This window comes from Homo sapiens, chromosome 10, assembly GCF_000001405.40.
Source record: "Homo sapiens chromosome 10, GRCh38.p14 Primary Assembly".
NCBI classification, from domain to species: domain Eukaryota; kingdom Metazoa; phylum Chordata; class Mammalia; order Primates; family Hominidae; genus Homo; species Homo sapiens.
The window spans coordinates 84533525-84551070 of NC_000010.11; the positions used below are offsets into that span (position 1 = coordinate 84533525).

The window sequence follows — 17546 nt, forward strand, 5'->3', positions numbered from 1 at the left end:
TCACCACAAACTCCGCCTCTCGGGTACAAGCGATTCTCCTGCCTCAGCCTCCCGAGTAGCTGGGATTATAGGCATGCATCACCACGCCTGGCTAATTTTGTATTTTTAGTAGAGATGGGGTGTCTCCATGTTGGTCAGGCTGGTCTCGAACTTCCAACCTCAGGTGATCCGCCTGCCTCAGGCTCCCAAAGTGCTGGGATTACAGGCATGAGCCACCACGCCCAAACATGGTGGAAGAAATTTTGAAGCAGGAAAGTGTTCAAGAGGAAGCAGAGCACAAACATTTGGAAAATTTGCAGCCTGATGATGTGATAGAAAAGAAAAACCGATTTTCTGGGGAGAAATTCAAGCCGGCAGCAGAAATTGGGTAAGTAACAAGGAGTCCAATGTTAATCACCAAGCAAATGGGGAAAATGTCTCCAAGGCATGTCAGAGAACTTCAAGGCAACCCCTCCAATCACAGGCCAGAGACGTAGGAGGGTTTCCTGGGCCGGGTCCAGGGCCTTATGCTGTGTACAACTCAGGGACTTGCTGCCCTGTGTCCCAGTTGCTCCAGCTGTGGCTAAAAGGTGCCAAGGTACAGCTCGGGCTGTGACTCCAAATGGTGCAAGCCCCAAGCCTTGGCAGCTTCCACGTGGTGTTGAGCCTGCAGGTGCACAGAAGTCAAGAATTGAGGTTTGTGAACTTCTGTGTAGATTTCAGAGGATGTATGGAAACACCTGGATCTCCAGGCAAAAGTTTGCTGCAGGGGTGGGGCCCTCATGGAGAACCTCTGTGAGGGCAGTGCAGAAGGGAAATATGGGGTCGAGCTCTCACACAGAGTCCCTACTGGGGCACCACCTAGTGGAGCTGTAAGAAGAGGGCCACCCTCCTCCAGACCCCAGAATGGTAGATTCACCAACAACTTGCACCATGCAACTGGTAAAGCCTCAGACACTCAATGCCAGCCTGTGAAAGCAGCCAGGAGAGGTGCTGTATCCAGCAAAGCCTCAGGGGCGGAGCTGCCCAAGGCCATGGGAGCCCACCTCTTCTGTCAGCATGACCTGAATGTGAGACACGGAGTCAAAGGAGATCATTTTGGAACTTTAAGATTTAATGACTTCCCTACTGGGTTTTGGACTTGCATGGGACCTGTGGCCCCTTTGTTTTGGCCAATTTCTCCCATTTGGAGTGGGTTTATTTGCCCAGTGCCTGTAACCCCATTGTATCTAGGAAGTATCTAACTTGCTTTTGATTTTACAGGCTTATAAGGTGGAAGGGACTTGCCTTGTCTCAAATGAGACTTTGCTGAAAGAAGACTTTGGGGGACTGTTGGGAAGGCATGATATGTTTTGAAATGTGAGGACATGAGATTTGGGAGAGGTTAGGGGTGGAATAATATGGTTAGGCTGTATCCTCACCCAAATCTCAGTTTGAATTGTAGCTCCCGTAATTACCACATGTTATGGGAAGGACCCAGTGGGAGGTAATTGAATCATGGGGGTGGGTATTTCCTGTGCTGCTGTTTTTGTAGTGAATAAGTCTCACGAGATCTGACGGTTTTAAAAAAGGGAGTTCCCCTGCTCATTCTCTCTCTTGCCTGCCTCCACATAAGAAATGCCTTTCGGCCGAGCGTGGTGGCTCACGCCTATAATCCCAGCACTTTGGGAGGCTGAGGCGGGTGGATCACTAAGTCAGGAAATCGAGACCATCCTGGCTAACATGGTGAAACCCCGTCTCTACTAAAAAATATAAAAAATCAGCCAGGTGTGGTGGCGGGCGCCTGTAGTCCCAGCTGCTCAGGAGGCTGAGGCAGGAGAATGGCGTGAACCCGGGAGGCGGAGCTTGCAGTGAGCCGAGATCGCGGCACTGCACTCCAGCCTGGGCGACAGAGCGAGACTCCGTCTCAAAAAAAAAAGAAAAAAAAAAAAAAAAGAAATGCCTTTCATCTTCCACCATGATTGTGAGGCCACCCCAGCCACATGAAACTGTGAGTCCATTAAACTTCTTTTCCTTTATAAATTACCCAGTCTTTGGTATATCTCTATCAGCAGGATTAAAGCAGACTAATAGATCTTTGTATTAGTTCTGATAGTGCTTTTATGGGTTCCTTGGGATCTTCTGCACACAGGAGCTTGTCATCTACAGTAGACAGTATTACTTTTCCTTTCCCAGTGTGGATGCCTTTGTTCCCCACCTTGTACTTGCCTGATTGCACAGCCCCCTTTTCTCTCAAGGCTGATGCTGCTGAAGCTGGAACCCCCAAGAGAGATTGACTCCCCGTGGCCATAGACCTATGCTGTGACCTTTGGTGGCCCAGGAGGATAGCAGCAATGAGCCACAGCTGCCTTCCAACTTTGTGGGGGTGGGAAGGCAAAGCCTGTGCTCACTGTCAGATGTCCATCACAGGCCCATGTGGCCATGGGGCATGGCCCCAGGTCTCTGGACCCTCTAATTTGGGATCCCTAGTTCTGAGAGCCCCACTGAAGATTTTGCATCTGATTCCTACCTTATTCCTCCAAACACACTGTGTAGCAAGAGATGACTGTCTGGGCGCCACATGGTGACCCCAAATTGTTTTAATAAAGTTAGTCTTACATTATTCCTTATCAGTGAGTGAAGCAGTGGGAATCTTAGGAATATAGCACAGAGGGTTTGGGAAGCTGAGTATGCCAGACTGTAGGGCCTGTGGTGTTTAGATATATGCTCCCCAAACTGAGGCAAGGCCTCATGTCTAATATTGATTTTTTAACACAGGAAGAGATTTAGAGAGGGAGGTTGAGGGGGAATCACTTCTCATGGAACCAAGGAGCTTCAGGGAAGGTTAAGCTGCCTTCAGAGGGTTATTTAGAATATCTGAGGGGGTGGAGTTTAAAGAAAGAATATTCAATACTATAATTTTAATTTTGTTTTCCAAATCTGAGTTTCTTTTGCTGTAATATAAACTTGAAAATTAAATTCAACAAAATCATTTTTGTTCTTGGAAACAGAAAATACAGCGAGTTTCAAAGGAAACAACAGGGAGTTTGGGGGTTTCTATGGTCCTGCAGGTGGAGACTGCGCTGGAGAAAACCCAGCGTTATTACACCCACGTGGGTGTGGAATGCAGAAGCCTGGTCGCATAATAATACATGATGTTTATTGAGTGTTCTCTGACACTCAACAATAATAGTTAATGTTTGTTGAGTGCTTTATAAATGCAACCATTATAAATGAAGGACCACTCTTGTTTAGTGTTGACGGAGGGTGCAGTGGAAAAACTAAAACACAGTCCGGGAGCCAAAAGTTCACAATAGTGTCAACTCTTTACTTGCTTTGTCAAAAATGGTGACGGGATCCAAATACACTGCACAATGACATTCGTAAAGAGATTTGTTCACCTCTCCAGCCCACTTCCCACAAGCCTTCCCCACAGCACAAGCTGCTCCCAGACATCTTTCTTCCCAGTGCACCTACCACATCCCTCCCTCCCCATCCAGTTTCTGACCCCAAAGAGCAGCAGGGCCAGAAGTCAGTTCTCCCACCTTGGCACAAAGAAGAGCCCATGCGGAGGCCTCATTTCCAACATCTCGTAGACCAACAGGCACAAGAGTGTCACACTGGGGTCTAGAAGCATGACTCCATGTGCTGTGCTGGGTGCTTTATGTGTTGATGATGATAATGATGGTAGCTTCTAACCCTTGATGTTCTGTGTGGCCAGGCATTGTTCTAAGCGCTTTATATCCTGCCCTCAAATTCTTGCAACATTCCTAAGAAGCAGGCACTAGCCTCACTATTTTACAGAGGAGAAACTAAGGCTTGAAGTTAGATACCTTGCCTGCACTTACAGCTATTAAATGGCGAAATAGAATTTGAAACCAGGTCATCTGCATCAGAATCCATGCACTTAATCACAAGGCTACTACTACATCTCCAGCTATATTTCATCTCAGTTCGTTTTCACAATAGCATTTCCTTTTTCACATGATAAAACAGAGGAGAGGCTCAGAGTGTTAAAAGTCAATGGCCCAAGTCATAGAGCTATTAAAGGAGTGGAATAGGCCGGAGCGATAGTGGGGAGGGCCGGCGGGAGGCTGAAGGCGGTAGTCTATTGTACAATGCTGCCATCTAGTGGTAAAATCTGAAACCTTCCTTATACGTACCCCGCCCATTTCTAAAAATGATTTACAGTTGCTTGAAGTTTCAGAAGATGGAAACCCTGTCAAATCCTCAAAGTATTAAAATAAAAGTGAAAGGAAAACAACCATATCATAATGGAGGAATAGCTGAGGCAATAGTTTTTAACTGAGAACCTACTTGGCTCTGAGTTTCCTGGCAGCCAAGGCTAAGAAGGAAATGTGTGTTCCATTGCTTATTGCACAATAAAAAGTCGATTAATCCATCACAAGACCAGCCTTGGACTTCATTTTTAATTCAACAACAATGGCACTAAAGATGTTGTAGGTGCCCTCCTGTGGACATTCATTTACCTGGAAAAGCCAACCAAGGGTCCCGATGGAACAAGTATGCTTGTTTATATAGGGGCCCTGGCTCAGCCTTTCCCCAAGCAGTCATTCCTGGGATGAGAATGACCCATGAAGGCTTTCAGCAAATGCTATCCACTAGGTCTTTCGGGCCCAGGCACCACCCACATTTGTGGTAGTTTTGGTTCAGTTATGTTTCGAAGGCAGCGCTGAGGGCCTGGCCCCTTGGTTTGGACTTTGGGTGGTGGCAGTGACAGTGCTCTGTTGTTCCATGAGCTCCAGAGATGTACTCTAGACCTGCGCTGTCCAATAAGGCAGTCACAGGTTACATGTGGCTCCTGAGCACTTAAATTGCAGCTGGTCTGAACTGAGATGCCCTGGAAATATAAAATCCACAGCAGATTTCATATAAAAAAGGAAAAATATCTCATTAATAATTGTTATACTCATTACATCTTGAAATAAATTATTTCATGCTGGATTAATAAAAAATAAGTTATTAATTTTACTTATTTCTTTTCACATTATAAAATGGGACTTTTAAAAAATTTAAAATTGAGTATGTGGCTGGCACTGTATTTCTTTCACGTCTAGAGATAGAAGAAATACTCTAGAGAGAGTATTTCTCTCTCTTCCTGGCTCCAGAGAGGTGGACTAGGCACTCTGGTCACCACGGGTAATGCCCCAAAACCCTAAGAACCTTTTGTGTTATTATGGGAGAACAGTTGTCTTTGTCTTCTAGATGCAGGCTAGCTTAGAGTTGAAGAATTTGGCTAAAGTGTTCAGTGGCTCCAAACAACTTTGCTCTGCCAGTTGGGACACGTTCTCTGTGTCAGCAGGCCAGGGATTGGGGTGGGGGTGTTGTCAACAATGGGAAAGGAGGGGCAGGGGGAAGGCAAGTTTGTTTCTCAGAAGTAGAATGAGCCACCCCTGCACCTGAAGTGGGTGTCTCTTTTGAAAAGGATTCTTTGGTCTCCAGGTATACAGTGCTCCTTCCATCACTGGGGTCCAGGTCTGGGCCCCAGCATTTGGACTTCACTCACCAAGGCCAGCTCTGATTTGCTGATGTATCAGTTATAGTTTTCAGAAGCCAATTTGCAAATTTCCTTTCAGATCTTAAAAAGGCTGGAAAGCAGAGAGATGAGGGCATAAAGCTTTGTAAATTATCAAAATCCCAAGCACACACATCTTCAAGCGCACAGGAACCACAAGTCCCCAATCATTATTGTGGTTCTGCTTTTTCCCCTATATTATGTGTTACAATATTACGAGTCAATTTCCCAGAAGTTTTAGCTGCTTTTCTCTGGCTGCACTAATTATATCAATAACAAACTCACAATCACATCAAATGACTGTCAACATATCCCAGTGCGCCATGCTCCATGAAATGACTAAATAAAGCAAAATTCCTTTATGGATTCCTTGGAGTATAACTGATCACAAGTTTGAGAATCTTGGGCTAAATCCAAAAGATGGCATCAAGCTCCCAGGCAGCTGGCCAAAATGTGAAGGCAATCTGCCTGGATGAACTTCTTCAAAATTTCCAGTTTACTCTTAGCACATCTAAGGTCACTGTATGAGTCCGTTTTCATGCTGCTGATAAAGAGATACCTGAGACTGGGCAATTTACAAAAGAAAGAGATTTAATGGATTTACAGTTCCACATGGCTGGGGAGGCCTCACAATCATGGCAGGAGGTGAAAGGCAGGTCTCACATGGTGGCAGACAAGAGAAGAGAGCTTGTGCAGGGAGACTCTGTTTTTCAAACCATCAGATCTCACGAGACTTATTCACTATCACAAGAACAGCACGGGAAAGACCTGCCCCCATGATTCAGTTACCTCCCACCAGGTCTCTCCCACAATAACTGAGAATTCAGGATGAAATTTGGGTGGTGACATGGCCAAACCACATCAGTCACACTCCAATTCTTGAATGAAACTGGGTAGGACCAGTGCCCACCCAAATGATCAGAAGGGAGTGTGTGCCTCCCACACAGTAACTCCCCATTAAATGTGAGTTCTCACGTCAGAGGTGCATAGGGCTGGGGAGCCAGAAGTATGTGAGGTCTCTTTCTGGGCTTAAAGCAGGGAAGGAACCCAGAAGCCCCCTGCTGAGCAGAGGACTCACTGTGGGGTTTGCCCTTTGGTAAGTCTGAATTTTGGTGGTCGAATTCAAAAGCCTCCTGTAGCGTGCAAAGGACACAGCTTCAGAGCCTTCCAGGGTGGCTAGCTCATGGTGGTCACGCCCCACCTCCTGTGGAATGAATGGATTCCACAGGGCTTAGTTGTCTGTTACTGTCTTGTTTCCTGTTACCCTGGGCTATGTCTCTTAGGCTGCCTCCAAATCTTCAGGGCAGCCTTGGAGGAGCCTCACACCGGACTCAGGCTAGAGCTCCCAAGGGAGAGCAAAGCCGTGGGGTGACTAGGTGCTCAGTGAGTCCCCAGGGGAAAGGGAAACTTGGGGAACAGGATGCAGGGCTGTGCTACCTGGCAGCCCTCCTTTCAAAGGGGATGCATCTCTGGCCATCATAAAAGATTCAGTTCTGTCAAGGGCCTTCCAACATGCAGAGCGTGAATGAGGCCTGTCAAGGGGCTCCCGGGGCCTCCCTCCCTTCGCCTCCTTCCTCCAGATGATGTTTCTTTCCCTGGGGTCTTGGCAGCTGGTCCTGAGCTCCCGGCGGCCCATTTCCCGGACCTGCGTTCCCAGGCATGGCCACACGAGTGCGCCCGGCTCCCGCTCCGGATCCGCCTCACCGGGGCTGAGTCAGGCTAGCTAACGGGCCGCGGGATCCCAGGGCCGGGTCCCCCGACCCTGCCTGATCATCTGAGGGGCAACTTCGCTGCGCTTGGAAATCCTCTTGACGACTTTGTCTGCCAGGACGCCCCAGCGGGGCCAGCTGAGCGTCCTGGCCTGCGGCTACAGCCTATGGTGAGGGGTGGAAACGGCGCCCTCCTCCAGTGCTGCAGAAGTGATGAAGATTCCCGCGACCTGGAGGCACCAAGTCCTTCTCAAGCGCAGGGGAGAGGGAGGGCGCGGTGCGGGGGGGTCCTGGGGGGCTCCCTCGGAATGAGGGATGGGTCTCCCGACGGCGCCCCCAGCCAGGGCCAGAAGCGTGGGCGCGCCGCGTTCCCGGTGCTTCCGTGCAACACGTTTCTGTCTCTCCCGTTTTCCAGAGGGAAAATTTGCCGTGGGAAGCAAGGATTCCCGAGCCTCGGTCCTGTCCACGCGGTGCAGGGCACCTGTCCAAGGTGGGCCTGGCCTGGCCCTGCCCAGATTCAGCCAGGTGACCGGGGCTGCAGGCAGATCCAGATGACAACGAAGTGCTCTCCCCTCCATTCTCCAGGCCTCTCCTGCGGGGACCCAGCTGGAAGGCCTATGGGCTCCCACCCCTCAGGGCAAAGGCTGGACTTAAGGGCCAGGCTTTCCAGGTGTCATTTCCTCTCCGAACCTCTGGGTGTCACTCACCTCGAATTTCCTGTCTTTAGTTGGGCATTGGCCGACAGAGCGCGGAATCTCTGCTGCCCTGCTCAGGCAGAAGGGCTTGGCCTCCTTCCCACAGGCCATGGTCCCCAAACACCACTCAGCACCCCCAGGCAGGCTGCACATCTGGATGGGCATAGGGGGAATAGGATCCCACACTCACCCTCACCATGGCCTCAGGCTGTGCAGAGCATGCTTCCAGGTCCTTGACTTTGGGTTTGGGCAGATGACTTTGGCCAATGGAATATTAGCAGTCATAGGGTTAGCAGAGGCTTTCAATGTGCTTGAGAGATTGGCTTTGCATCCCCGCACTTCACTGATTGAACCTAAATGAGAAGCGTTTCCTCCTGGTAGCTGCTGCCCTTTCATCCTGGATCCCATAATAAGCACACATAGAGCAGGCCTGAGCCCAACCTGCAGTGGGAAGCCGAGCCCTGCAGTCCCACTGCCCGAAGCAGAGCCGACCTGCTGAGCCCAGCCTTGACAAGCATCCAGTTGTCTTCAGTGGGCCACACTTACAAGCATGGGAATTAGTGCTTATTGTCATATGCCACTGAGAGCTTGTGGAGGTTGTCCAGCAAAGCTGACTGACCAATGTCCTTTTCTCAGTCAGGCCTGAATGACTCATAGCCCAATTCCATGATACAAATGATATCATTGAGACAATGATATTTTGAAAATTGTGCAAGCCACAGAGCTGTCTTCCTAAGAGCTTGTATGGTGTGTATGGTGTATATGCTTGTGTGTGTGTGTGTGTGTGTGTGTGTGTGTGTGTGTGGTGTATGTGTGTAGGCAGGGGAGGACACTATCTTCAGTCAGAGTTCAGGCAAATGCCCTGCACCACCAGTACAAGGTGAGGGGCCAGGCTGCTACCCAGCATCACCCCGGGATGGAATTCCGCAAAGACTTGATAGAGGGGCCCAACTTGATACAACAGTGTTCTTATTAATTGTCTCCAAATCTTGTAGCCTCCACTTATGGAACAATTGACACCGCATAGAGAGATTGTGATTTTCTTTCCTTTTCTCTGTTGGGTAGGGCTAGAGCAGCTGTCTTGTCTCATTCAAAGCCATGGAAGACGCCACCGCCAGTTACGCTGGTATTTCCAAGCATCATAGCTTTCCTTCCCTGTAGCTCAAGTACAACAGCATGTTCTAAGGATCCTGATTTGCCTCGAGTTTACACACCTGATAAGTGGTTTCCTTTGCAAGAGCCATAAAACACAGTGGATGGTGACCTGCGGGCCCAGCACAGGTATTCTAAAGCAATTAGCCACCAGCCAGGAAAAGCCATTATACGAACAGTGGGCTGAGTTGTGATGGACAGGTCGTATTCCATGAAGATTCCCGATTAGAACTCTGGAAAAGGAGCGAACAGACAGATTGGCAAGCCTCCGCCTCTACTTTTACCCATTAGTAGCCCTCCGCAGGTCACGGGGTGTTACAGCTGGGCTTTGGCTACTGCAGCCCCCTCTGCCTCCCTTGCTGCAAAGCTGAACCCAGTGGTTGACTGGGGGGGATTTCTGGCCAGGCCTGGACCCCTCCCCCTCTCCACTCCTCCCCAGCCTTTACTGCCCTGTGTCTTTCTGGGGCATTGCTTTGTGCAAAGACAAGTAATACCAGGGAGTTGTCAGGAAATATGCCCCTCACAGACCCCCTAGGACTCACTGCAGCTGACATCTGAGCTGCTTCTCTTCTAAAATGTTGCTCCTAAAGCTCAAAAACAGGAGCAGATTTCAGCAGCTGCTCCAGTTTCTCTCGGCGTGATGAAATAATGAGGGAGAATTGCCCCGTGACATCTGATACAGAACGTTCCTGTTTCCAGTTTACCCACATAACAAGATAGTTTCATTGATAATGAGATAAGCAGAGAGCGGTGCTCGGGAAGGCCTGGTGTCATTATGGAGCTATTTCTATGTTAATGGCGATGAGAGGAGAATGCAGAAACGGCTGTCACAGATTGACAAGGGTGATGTTAAATACGCCTGCTGCAATGCAGCCGCCGTGGAAGGCCCCATTCAATACGTGGGCTGAACAAACGGTGGGTGACTTGTATGCTTTGTGGAGAAGGGGGTGTTTGTGCCCCTCTCTGAACCCTCCTTGCCCTGCTCCCACAATCTTTGAAGCCGTCTCTCTCACCTTCTCTTGTCGGGCATTTGACCCTCTCTGCCTACGGGCCAGCCTCCCAGGGTTATCCAAGAAGGGTCTTTGAGATAGATACAAAGCTCAGGTCATCAGCCTGGGAGGAGGCCGATCATACTTTAAGGGGCCCAAAGTTGAAGATAGGGAAACTGACTCTAAGCTGGACAAGGGATAAAGTCATGAGATTAACTGAAGTAGATGATGGAGAACCAGATCCAAACTTGCTTAGGTGGGAGCAGTTCAGGTGTGGCTGATTTGGGTTTGACAGAAGCCGTACGGATGCTGTTTCTTTCCATCCTTCTTTACGCTCCTGTCTCCTCCATGTCATGTCTGGTCTCAGGCTCCTACCCCTGGCAGGACAGCCACAATCTGTTAGGCTCTAGGGGGAGAGGGAGAGTCCCTTTCTAGGAAACCCAGTAAAGGTGTCACTCCCTACCTGTGACTTAGATTGGGCCATGTGTTCATCTCTAAAACTGCATCAGTTGAGAAGCAATACTCTGACTGGCCAGGCCTGGGCCATGGAGTCTACCTGAGTCACGTGGTCTGCAGGCAATGGTCTTTCGTAAGCCATTGCCAGAAGTCCAGTGAATCATACTCATCTTCTTTTGGGCTCACATTTTTTTTTTTGTTTGTTTTTCCTTCTTGAATCATTGTTGTCTGAGAAACGAGGGACAGAGAAACTGCGCATACTGCTCCTCTCCCTGTCCCATAGGAAGAGGTCTTTAGCGTGGCCCAGAGCCTTCCTGGTTAGGCCTCTACCCTCCCACCCCAGCTGCCTCTCCGACCCATCCCGGTCCCCCAAACAGCGTGCTTTTCCATCCTTGTGCTTTTACATGAGCATCTGCCCAAGGGGCCCAGACTTTCCTTCTCCAACCAAAAGACTCCTATGGATCCCTCAGGACCCAAATTGTCTCACCCCTTCTGTGATGCTTTCCCCGAGTTCTTCCAGGCATTTGTCTACGGTCTGACTCCCTGTAAAACTCTTTATCACATTGTTATCTCATGACCCTAGGAGGCTAGGAGCTCCTGGAAGACTGTATTTTAAAGTATTCTTTATTTTTTTTAGAGACAGGATCTCACCTGTCATCCAGGCGGGAGTGCAGTGGCGCGATCATGGCTTACTGCAGCCTTGACCTCTTGGGCTCAAGTGATCCTCCTGCCTCAGCCTCTTGAGTAGCTAGGACTATAGGGGTATGCTACCACGCCCAGCTACTTTTAAAAAAAATATTTTTGGCTGGGCGTGGTGGCTCATGTCTGTAATCTCAGCACTTTGGGAGGCCAAGGCGAGCGGATCACCTGAGGTCAGGAGTTCAGCCTGGCCAACATGGTGAAACCCTGGCTCTACTAAAAAATACAAAAAAATTAGCCGGGCATGGTGGCGGGCACCTGTAGTCCCAGCTACTCAGGAGTCTAAAGCAGATAATCGCTTGAACCCAGGAGGCAGAGGTAATCGCTTGAACCCAGGAGGCAGAGGTTACAGTGAACCAAGATCATGCCACTGCACTGCAGCCTGGGTGACAGAGCAAGACTCTGTCTCAAAAAAAAAGGATTTTTGTAGAGGTGGGGTCTTGCTATGTTTCCCAGGCCGGTCTCAAACTCCTGGACTCAAGCAATCCTCCCACCTTGGCCTCTCAAAGTGTTGGGATTACAGGGATGAGCCACTGTGCCCAGCCAAAATATTCTTTTCAGTTTTTTTTTTATTATGAAACATTTTCAAACATTAAAAAAAACAAAACATTTAAATATGTGTTCACCACCCAAATCTAATAGATGATAACAGCTTGCCACATTTGTTTTACCTTTGTCTCTCTCTTTGAAGAAATAAAATATTAAAAGAATACAACTAAAGCCCCAACACTCCCATTCCCTTCCCCTCTACTCCCAGGCTTCTGAAGTTGAGTTAAATCTCTATTCAATTTCACACTCTTCAGAATTATTCATGTTAATTTATAAATATGTTTTGTTCATTTGTACCGCAGTGGAGTGCTTTTGATTGTAAGAATAAACCATGGTTACTTATCCTTTTCCCTCCTGGGGAGTACATTTGTTTCTGACTTTTCAACATTGTAAACCTTCTGCAGTGAATGTTGTTGCCTGTATCTCCTGTTGCCAAAGCAAGAATCTATCAGCAGGTACACTAGTAGTGGAATTGTTGGCTTTACATAGGGTGTGTGCATCCTCAGCTTTAAAAAACATTGTCAAGGCCAGGTGCCTTCCCAAGTGCCTTCCCAGCTACTCAAGAATTAGAGCAGGGAGGATTTCTGGAGCCCAGGAGGTTGAGACTGCAGTGAGCCATGACTGCACCACTGCATTTCAGCCTGGGCAACATAGTGAAACCCTGTCTCAAAATCAACAACAAAACATGAATAAACTTTACTTGAGTTTTCTCCAAGTTCAGTCTGACTATAAGAAAATGAAGTCATATTTTGGTTCATTTTTATTTGCCCTATGACTGATGGGGCCAAGCCTTTTTTCATATGCTCGTTGGTCATTCAAGTTTTCTCTTCCACAAATTGCTTGTTTTCCTAATTAACGGGTTGTCAGTCTCTCTGTGCCCTGGAGCCAACTCCTTTGTTTGTTATACACAACCTTGTCTTATCCATCAGTAGTACATCCCTGCATCTTTCTCAGTGCCAGACAAGGGGCCAGCCATTGATAAATTTTTACTGGAAAAGGGAGAAATGAAGAAGACAAGCCCTCTGGAACCTGCAAAGCTGTTCTGACTGTCCCCTGGGGGTGACCTGCATGAGCACAGGCCTGTTTAGGAGATGGATCTGCCTGGGAACTCGGCACTAGGTCTGAGCAGATAGACAGCAGTGACAGCCAGACTGGGCAGGGAGATGGCCGATGGGGAGGGGGCTGCTGAGTCCAGTGGACCCTTTCTGGGCTCCACCCTCCATGAAGAGTCTCTAAGCCTTGCTGACTTTGTTGCCAACAATTCTTCAAGAGGCCACCCTGAGATATCTGGAAGGCAGTAAGAAATCTGGTCACTTCTACAAAATGCCGGGATCCCAATCCCTTTCCCAAGGTGAGCCCATTAGCCGCAATCCTCAGGACTCAGTTAGACATTTAATTTCCAGTTTCTCCAAATCTTGCTCCCGTTCTGAGTCATTAAACAGGCTCCCAGGCTGTCTCCATTTGAACATGCACTTGGCCGAGGCAGCCCTGGGTGCTCTGCAGGGAACATACGCTAACAGCTCCCCTTCGAGCACTGCCTGGGAGAAGTGTGGAGCCCAATCCAGCCCTCATCACGTCCTTAATTTCCAAGCACCACTTGCAGCCATGCTGTGGCGAGAATTCAACTCTTACCTGCCTGTGAATGATTCTTTAAATAAATACAGTTTACACAAAGCTTTGAGAGGACAGGAATCATAGCTGACGTTGCCCAGTGTCCCAGCACCTAAAATGTACCTGGCACTTAGGAGGCCTCAATAGTGATTTATTTATTTATTTTGGAGACGGAGTCTTGCTCTGTTGCCCAGGCTGGAGTGTAATGGCATGCTCTCGGCTCACTGCACCCTCCGCCTCCTGAGTTCAAGCGATTCTCCTGCCTCAGCCTCCCAAGTAGCTGGGACTACAGGTGCCCGCCAACCTGCCCAGCTAATTTTTGCATTTTTAGTAGAGATGAGGTTTCACCATGTTGGCCAGGCTGGTCTTGAACTCCTGACTTCAGGTGATCCACCTGCCTTGGCCTCCCGAAGTGCTGGGATTACAGGCGTGAGCCACCGTGCCCGGCCTCAGTAGTGATTTATCTAAGAAATGGATGAAGGGACCAGAACAATTGACATTATCAAGGTGGCAATTCTCTTTGAGTTTATATAGAAATAACATTTATTCGAGTAAAATATTATGAGATAAATATCATCTTTTTTAAACATTTAATCTAATCATTTAAAAAATTTATCTAGAACATAGAAGAATAGCCACTGAAATCTTGATATGAAAAATTTCCAGATATTAAACCTTGCTTCAGATATTAAAACCTATTATAAAGGGACAATAATTGAAAGAATATGGTACTGGTATAGAAGTGGATATATCAGTGGACAATATTAAATTGCTGAAATATACCCAAGTAATGCAATAATTTAGTTCATAGTAAACATGGTGTTTCAAAAGGGTAGAAAATGATTATCCAGCCTCAAAGCGGGGAGTCTCTGAGCTCGGAGCTCTGAAGGGCCTTAGCAGTTTGGCGCCTTATAATTGCAAGACCCTATCTTATCAAGAGGTGACAGCTGTTGGGTGAGATGGGGGGAGTTTGCAAAGCTAGCAGTCTCTAAATGGATAAAAAAATTGCTTGTTTGAGCTATTTTAAAAATAATTGGATGTGTAAAAATTTTAGCTGGGTGCTGGCAGGCTTTTGAGCTAACAGATCTCAGCCTGCAGTGCAGAAATAAGCAATCCATGGGCTAATGTACAGAGGCCATCTTTGGCTCATTTATAAAACAAGTCCCTGTTGGCAACTTCAGCAGCTACAGCTGGTGGGATCACCTCCCCGCTCTCCAGAGGAGCTGTGTATAAAGGGACTCCATGATGCTTCCCAGTGAGAGTCCAAGGTGAGCAAGCAACTTCCCTTTCTGTGCGTTTTCCTACCCTCCTTTTTCCCATCAGCCTCTCATGATGGTCATGACAACAGGCAACATCTGAGCATTTTTTTTTTGCCAGGCACTCGGTCAGATGCTTTCATGGAAACCATCATCAAATACACAAAGCAAATTTATGAGGTAGCAAATTTATGTATCATCTCCATTCTACAAATGAGGAAAGTGGGCAGAGAGGGGCTGAACAACTTGCCCTAGGTTTCACAGAGAGCACAAAGCAGAGCTGGGTTCTGATCCTGCAGGCTAACTCTCCCCCAGTGCCCAATGCAGGTGGGCTTCCTCACCTGCACACCTCCGCTTCCCTCCATCCCTCACCCCTAGTTTGTTCTCCTCCTTTTGGTACAAGTGTGTTTCCTGTAGCCCTCTGCAAGGCCTCCTTCTGGTTCTAGTCCTTCCTTCCATATCAGTCAGGGTCCCCCTGGGAGACAGAACCACAGCACTTATTTGAGCAGAGAGTATTTTAATATAAAGAATTGTTTACTAGGCATAAAATTGTGAACTCCATAACTGAAAGGACATAAAAAAGACTCTAAACTATCACAGACGTGGTGACTGCAGGAAGCAGCACTCACACCTAGGGCTGGAGGAATAAGGGAAGAGAATGGAATTATTAAAACTCAAGGCTTGGGCAAAGCCCCTGGAACTGGAACTCAGATTGAGTAGGGAGTGATGGCTGGTGCTTGGGTTTCTGCAATGGGTGGGAGGGTAGATGGGATGAAAAAAACTGCAGAATGAATCCAGCTGCTGCTACAGGAAGGAACTGCCTTTGCTGGGGCGAAGAGGCATTGCTAGGGTGATGCTCATAAGAGCAGAAGCCAATGGGAAGGAGCAAGTTCTGCTCCATCCTCCAGCTCCCCAGTCTCCCTGAAGTGCCCCCTACTGGTAAAGTCCAACAGGGAGCAGCCGGCAAAGCAGAAACGTGGTTTGCAGCATCCTAGCCTCAGCGTCACTGAGCTGAGATAGAAGGGTGGGTTTGGAGCTGAGAGACAATAAGTAGTACACCTTTCTGTGGCCAAGGTTGAAGCCTTATCACTTAGACTTCAGGATATGCGCCTCAACCATTTCCTCTCTGCTAAGCTTTTGGGGAGCTCTGCTTCCAATTCCCACAGAGTTATTGTTCCTCTTCCATGGGGTACAGATGGCAGAGTGCCAGGGTCCCTCTCCAAACGGAACTGAGAAATGTACATACCTATTATGTCCTCTGCATGCAGGGCCTGAGACTCGGCCATGTACACATACCCACCCTGGGTACCTTGGAGTCCATATTCTGCTAACTGTAAGTCCCCGGCATTTAGCAAGTCCTTTCCCAGAGACACTCGGGCTGGCAGAGAGGGAGGACAGCTGAGGCCACGCTTCTGTCCCTTCCCTCCCCAGCCTGTCCAGCTCATTCCTGTCATACATGTTTGCCTGAGCGTGGCACTGACACCTCGTGGAGTTTGACCTTTCTAGAAATGAATAATTTGATTTCTCAGGAAAGTAGTGAACGTAAGGTAAGCTTTAGCAATATCAAAGCAGCACATCGATTAAATATCTGCCTGAGAATTCTCTCTGGGTTTCTGTATTCCAAAAGGCTTACAATAAAATTAACTCCAAAGTTACTGAACTGAGAAATGTACAATTACTGTCTTGTTGATGCAATAAAATAGAAAGGACTGTTTAGGCATTTAATTGGCACCCAACAACATACGATGGTATGTTAGTTAGACATCAATTATGACAGAATGCTAATTGACATTTGATAAGCATTCTCACTGATAACCAATGTTTGCTCTGCCAAATTAAATGCCTCAGTGGGCTGTGTCTGACAGCTGGGAGGGGGTTTACTAAACGGCTGCAAGTGCCTGGCATCCTCCAGATGGCTGGGGCTTTCTCTAGAACATCCTGCTACTCCTTGGGAAATACTTCCAGGGTCAAGTGATTGACTTCTCCTCGTTGCTTCTGGGAAAAGAAGTCACCCTTCTCAGGGAGCCTGGCCTCGCTTACCTTCAATGCCCAATACCTTCATCTTCCCATCACCTGTCTTCTCTTCTCAGTCTGTGCAGCCCCACATTTCAGCCCACTTTCTGTAGCCTTTACAGTCAAGCCTATTTGAATGCTAAACCTGGCTCCACCATTTTCTAGCTGTGGGCCCTGACTCTGGGCTTCGGTTTCCCCTTTCTGCAACAGGAATCTTGCCTAAGTATTAGGACTAATGGGAAGAAAGTGGTGACCTCAATTTTTAGCACAGAGCTGGAGCTCAGTAACTTTGATTTTCTGTTCTCTCCCCTCGTTTTCCCTTCTGGCCTCCTATTCCTACTCCTGGGCTATGGCTTTGTGCCACACTGTTAGACTGTGACCCTGATGCCATGGTTCTCAGCCCTCCATCTGAGCTGAGACCAAGCTTTGACTACCATCAGAGAACAAATGTGTCTTGAGCTTCAGATTTAAGTGCTGGTCCCACCATGCATTAGCTGTGTGACATTGAGTCAGTTGCTTCACTTCTCTGTTCTTTGGTTTTCTCATCTGTGTTGTGGGGATGATAATAATAGTACTTACCTTCAGGTAAGGTAAGATGCAAGCACTTAGGGTGGTGCTTGTGCATGGAAAGTGCTCAGCATATATCAGCTTGCAAACATCGTAAACATTAGACCCAGCCATCTAGGGTGATGCCACTGAATTTGATTCTCAATCAGGTTTTTTTTTTCCCCACAGCAACCAGCTCTTGAGTGGATTCAGGCTTCCACAGTCTCTTGTTTCTAGGTGGCAATGCAACAAGTGGCCTCATTCCCTCTCCTTTGCTTCCTGGACTTCTGGATCATTTCAGAAAGACTCTGGCTGCTGTAATGCGGCCACTGCATGTTTTGTTAAAAGATCGCACACGTGTGTGTGTGTGTGTGTGT

The 17546-nt window shown here is 48.0% G+C and overlaps 3 annotated features.

The window, feature by feature from the left end:
• Positions 1729 to 2228: an enhancer, noted in NCBI's record as "H3K4me1 hESC enhancer chr10:86295009-86295508 (GRCh37/hg19 assembly coordinates)". NCBI's record gives its function as "activates a minimal SCP1, AML or CMV promoter by ChIP-STARR-seq in naive H9 embryonic stem cells {active_cell/tissue: H9 hESC(naive)}" and the evidence as "EXISTENCE:reporter gene assay evidence [ECO:0000049][PMID:30033119]".
• Positions 3481 to 4185: an enhancer, noted in NCBI's record as "NANOG hESC enhancer chr10:86296761-86297465 (GRCh37/hg19 assembly coordinates)". NCBI's record gives its function as "activates a minimal SCP1, AML or CMV promoter by ChIP-STARR-seq in naive H9 embryonic stem cells {active_cell/tissue: H9 hESC(naive)}" and the evidence as "EXISTENCE:reporter gene assay evidence [ECO:0000049][PMID:30033119]".
• Positions 9515 to 10014: an enhancer, noted in NCBI's record as "H3K4me1 hESC enhancer chr10:86302795-86303294 (GRCh37/hg19 assembly coordinates)". NCBI's record gives its function as "activates a minimal SCP1, AML or CMV promoter by ChIP-STARR-seq in naive H9 embryonic stem cells {active_cell/tissue: H9 hESC(naive)}" and the evidence as "EXISTENCE:reporter gene assay evidence [ECO:0000049][PMID:30033119]".